Raw genomic sequence first — 4,831 nt, 5'->3', positions numbered from 1 at the left:
TTAGTGCAAGAAAAAACTTCAAACTGCAAGACGAGTCCCTCCAAATATAGAAAGGACCAGTATTTTAGGAGGTATGTTAACTAAAATGTGGCAATGTAAGGAGCAAAACAGGAAGAACCTTTAAGTCCTAAACTTACAAGTCAATTTCCTAGTCAGTTTCCATGGTCCTTCCACAACAACCTCTGGCATCTGTATTCTCTACAATGGAGGTAACAATAGTAGCTATTTCAGAGCAGGAAAAGGCTTAGAGCAGTGCTGCAAGAGGGTCGTGGCTATATAAAGTTTAGCTATTTGTATATTGTAACAAACCCCCTTTTTTTTTTTTTTTGTCAATAATAGATTTCTTTTGGAAAAGTAGCAGCCTCCTGTCTGGGGACAACTGCAGTTCCACTAAGTGAACATTGGTGTCTGCTCGCCTTTGCCTCTATTTCTCTCAATAATATACTGTCAAGCTGTTCCTTGATTTAGCAATTTTATGTACTTTCTTTTTCTTCTTTTTTTTTTTTCCTGTTTTCCTGAGACACAGTCCCGCTCTATCGCCCAGTTTGGACTGCAGCAGCGCCAACATGGCTCACTGCCACCTCACCCCCACCCCTCTCCGGCTCAAGCAATCCTCCTACATCAGCCTTCAGAGTAGCTGGGACTACCCGCCGGGCCCACCAGGCCCCGCTAATCTTTGTGGTTTTTGTTTTGTTTTTCAATTAAGGGACTGGGTTTCGGGCCAGGCGCAGTGACTCAGGCCTGCAATCGCAGCACCCCGGAAGGCCGAGGCCGGCGGATCACCCGAGGTTAGGAGCTGGAGACCAGCCTGACCAACATGGAGAAACCCCATCTCAACCAAAATAAATAAATAATAAAAAAGTAGCCGGGCATGGTGGCTCACGCCTGCAATCCCAGCCACTCAGGAGGCTGAAGCAGGAGAATCACCCAAACCCGGGAGGCGGAGGCCCGGGAAGCCGAGACCACGCCACTGCACTCCAGCCTGGGCAACAAGAGGGAAACTCCGCCTCGAAAACAAAACAAAAACAAAAACGGGTTTCACCATGTTGCCCAGGCGGGTCTGGATCTCCTAGGCTCAAGCGATTCACCGCGCTCAGCCGTCCAAAGTCCTGGGATCACAAGCGCGAGCCATGACACCAGGCCGATCTATTCCTGTCTGATTAAAAATTGGGCTGGGCGTGGTGGTTAACGCCTGCGATCCTAACACCCAGGGAGGCCGAGGCGGTCGGATAACCTGAGGTCAGATTGAGGCCAGCCTGACCAACATGGAGAAAACCCCATCTCTACCAAAAAAAAAAAAAAAAATACAAAATACAAAATTAGCAGGGCACGGTGGCTCATGCCTGCAATCCCAGCCACTCGGGAGGCTGAGGCAGGAGAACCACCCAAACCTGGGAGGCCGAGGCTGCGGGGAGCCGAGACCCTGCCACTGCACTCTAGCCTGGGCAACAAGAGCGAAACTCCCTATCAAAAAAAAAAAAAAAAAAAGAGGGACTGGGTTTCACCATGTTGCCCCAGCCGGCCTGGAACTCCTAGGCTCAAGCGATCCGCCGCGCTCGGCCATCTGAAGTCCCGGGATCACAAGGGTGAGCCACCACGCCAGGCCCATCTGTTCCTTTCTGATTAATAAATTGGGCCCGGCGCGGTGGCTCCCTCCTGCAATCCCAGCACCCTGGGAGGCGGAGGCGGGCGGACCACCTGAGGTCGGGAGTTTGAGACCAGCCTGACCAACATGGAGAAACCCGTCTCTACCAAAAAAGAAAAAAAATAAAAAGCTGGGCATGGTGGCTCACGCCTGCAATCCCAGCACCCCGGGAGGCCGAAGCAGGCGGGTAACCTGAGGTCAGGAGTTTGAGACTACCCTGACGAAGGGAGAAACCCCGTCTATACCAAAAAAAAAAAAAAAAAAATTAGCCGGGCATGGTGGCTCACGCCTGTAATCCCAGCCGCTCCGGAGGCTGAGGCAGGAGAACAACCCAAACCCAATAGGCGGAGGCCGCCGGGAGCCGAGACCGCGCCACTGCACTCCAACCGGGCAACAAGAGTGAAACTGCCTCAAAAAAAAAAAAAGACCGGGTTTCACCATGTTGCCCCGGCCTGTCTGGAACTCCTAGGCTCAAGCGATCCCCCACGCTATTCCTTTGTGATTTATAAATTGGGCCTTGGGCGCTGGCTCAAGCCTGCAATCCCAGCACCTCCGGACGCCCGAGGCGGGCGGATAACCTGAGGTTGGAGTTTGAGACCAGCCTTATGAACATGGAGAAACCCCATCTCCAACAACAAAAACAAACGAACAAAAAACAAAATGAGCTGGGCATGGTGGCTCACGCGTGCAATCCCAGCCACTCGGGAGGCTGTGGCAGGAGAACCACCCAAACCCGGGAGGCGGAGGCCCGTTGAGCCAAGACCTCACCACTGCACTCCAGCCTGGGCAACAAAAGCGAATCTCCGCCTCAAAACAAACAAAAAGTGACCGGGTTTCACCATGTTGCCCAGGCAAGTATAGAACGAACTCCTACGCTCAAGCGATCCGCCGCGCTCAGCCGTCCAAATTCCTGGGATCATAAGCGTGAGCCACCATGCAAGGCCGATCTATTCCTTTCTGATTAATAAACTGGGCTGGGCGCGCTGGCTCACGCCTGCAATCCCAGCACCCCCGGAGGCCCAGGAGGCGGGCGGATAACCTGAGGTCGGGAGTTTGAGACCAGCCTGATGAACATGGAGAAACCCTGTCTGTACCAAAAAAAAAAGAGAAGAGAGACCGGGTTTCACCATGTTGCCCAGGCCGGTGTGGAACTCCTAGGCTCAAGTGATCGATCCCCCGCGCTCGGCCGTCCGACGTCCTGGGACCACAAGCGTGAGCCACCACGCCAGGCCGATCTATTCCTTTCTGATTAATTAGTTGGGCTTTGCGTGCTGGCTCACGCCTGCAATCCCAGCACCCCCGGAAGCCAAGGCGGGCGGATAACCTGAGGTCCTGAGTTTGAGACCAGCCTGACCAACAGGTAGAAACCCTGTGTGTACCAAAAAAAAAAAAAAAGAAAAAAGAAAATTAGGCATGGTGGCTCACACCTGCAATCTCAGCCATTAGGGAGGTTGAGGCAGAAGAACCACCCAAACCCAAGAGGCGGAGGCGGCGGGGAGCCGAGACTGCACCACTGCACTCCAGCCTGGGCAACAAGAGCGAAACTCCGCCTCAAAAAAAAAAAAAGAGACCGAGTTTCACCATGTTGCCCAGGCCTGTCTGGATCTCCTAGGCTCAAATGATCCCCAGTGCTCTGCCATCCAAAGTCCTTGGATCACAAGCGCAAGCCACCAAGCCAGGCCCATCTATTCCTCTCTGATTAATAAATTGGGCGGGGTGCGGTGGCTCACACCTGCAGTCCTGTAGAGGGATTTTTAAGGAATTAGATAGACTCATGGGGTTTAGGAGGACATTTATTAATTATTTAGGTGCACCAGCCCAGTCGGATTAACATTTAAAGGATTGAGTACTGAACCAAGAGTTACCTTTCAAGCATTATGTGGGGCGAAGGGGGAGATCTGTGCAGGGAGAAGCATATTATAGAAGCGAGAAACAAAGATACTTATTTAATTGAAACATACATTATATTATTTTTTACTATTTAAGGAAAAATATGTTTTGTGACGAGTTTGTTTAGTGACCTTGCAGTTGCACAGTTAGGGAATTAGTTGGGCATGGTGGCTCACACAATCCCAGCCACTCGGGAGGCTGTGGCAGGAGAACCATCCAAACCCGGGAGGCAGAGGTCCCACAAGCCGAGACCTCGCCACTGCACTCCAGCCTGGGCAACAAGAGCAAATCTCCCCCTTAAAAAAAAAATGTGACTGGGTTTCACTATTCTGTCCAGGCCGGTCTGGAACTCCTAGGCCCAAGCGATCTGGCGCTTGATGTCTTTAACCTATGATTGAAAGCATATTAAGATCTTGGGTGTATCAACAGTCCAGAGGTCAAGAAGGAAATTCCTGGAATGTGAAATATTCTGCAACAAGAAAGGCAATTGGAGAGGTGACTAAATTCACTGCAGTTGTTTTGCCCTCTTCTTTCTCCTCTCTCTCTTTCCTGGAAGTCCCCTAGTACAAAGTAAAAGAGATAATGGCTTTTGGAGTGCATGTTTTTCCTGGAATTGGAAGGAATTTTAACAAAGGAGCCCTTCACAATGAAACCCCCCCACACCCCTGCTTTTCACCTGAAGCAGGACAAGATCGGTGCCCCCACCATCATTCTCCATGTGACCCCAGGTGGGGATGCGGGGTGGACACTACTGATAAGCTCTTAGCAATTTCCCTCTTTATGGACTCTGAAGCTCCTTAGCTTGACAACTGATGAATAAGTTTTCTTTTGTGGGATAAGAGTAGGTGAATTTTCCCCCTGAATTCCCGTCCTGGGGCCAGGGAAGAGAGCCCAGGATCCCTTCTCTTGGCCGTCACACTGCGGGAAAGAGTACCTAGAGTTAAAAGCCTGATAAATGCCCTCGAACAGCTTTGAAAATCACGAGGTCAGGAGATCGAGGCCATCCTGGCTAACACGGTGAAACCCCGTCTCTACTAAAAAAAAAAAAAAAAAAAATACAAAAAATTAGCCGGACATGGTGGCAGGCGCCTGTAGTCCCAGCTACTGGGGAGGCTGAGGCAGGAGAATGGCATGAACCCGGGAGGCGGAGCTTGCAGTGAGCGGAGATCGTGCCACTGCACTCCAGCCTGGGCGACAGAGCGAGACTCTGTCTCAAAAAAAAAAAAAAAAGTGATTATTATATACTTTATTTCAAAGATGAAATGTATGACCATACAGCAAAATAAAATTGGGATA

The 4,831-nt window shown here is 50.8% G+C and overlaps 1 annotated feature.

Annotated features, from left to right (window-relative positions):
• Positions 823-1,323: an enhancer, noted in NCBI's record as "H3K4me1 hESC enhancer chr15:29029486-29029986 (GRCh37/hg19 assembly coordinates)". NCBI's record gives its function as "activates a minimal SCP1, AML or CMV promoter by ChIP-STARR-seq in naive H9 embryonic stem cells {active_cell/tissue: H9 hESC(naive)}" and the evidence as "EXISTENCE:reporter gene assay evidence [ECO:0000049][PMID:30033119]".

Source organism: Homo sapiens, chromosome 15 (assembly GCF_000001405.40).
Source record: "Homo sapiens chromosome 15, GRCh38.p14 Primary Assembly".
NCBI lineage: Eukaryota > Metazoa > Chordata > Mammalia > Primates > Hominidae > Homo > Homo sapiens.
This window is presented reverse-complemented; position numbering and strand designations above follow the sequence as displayed.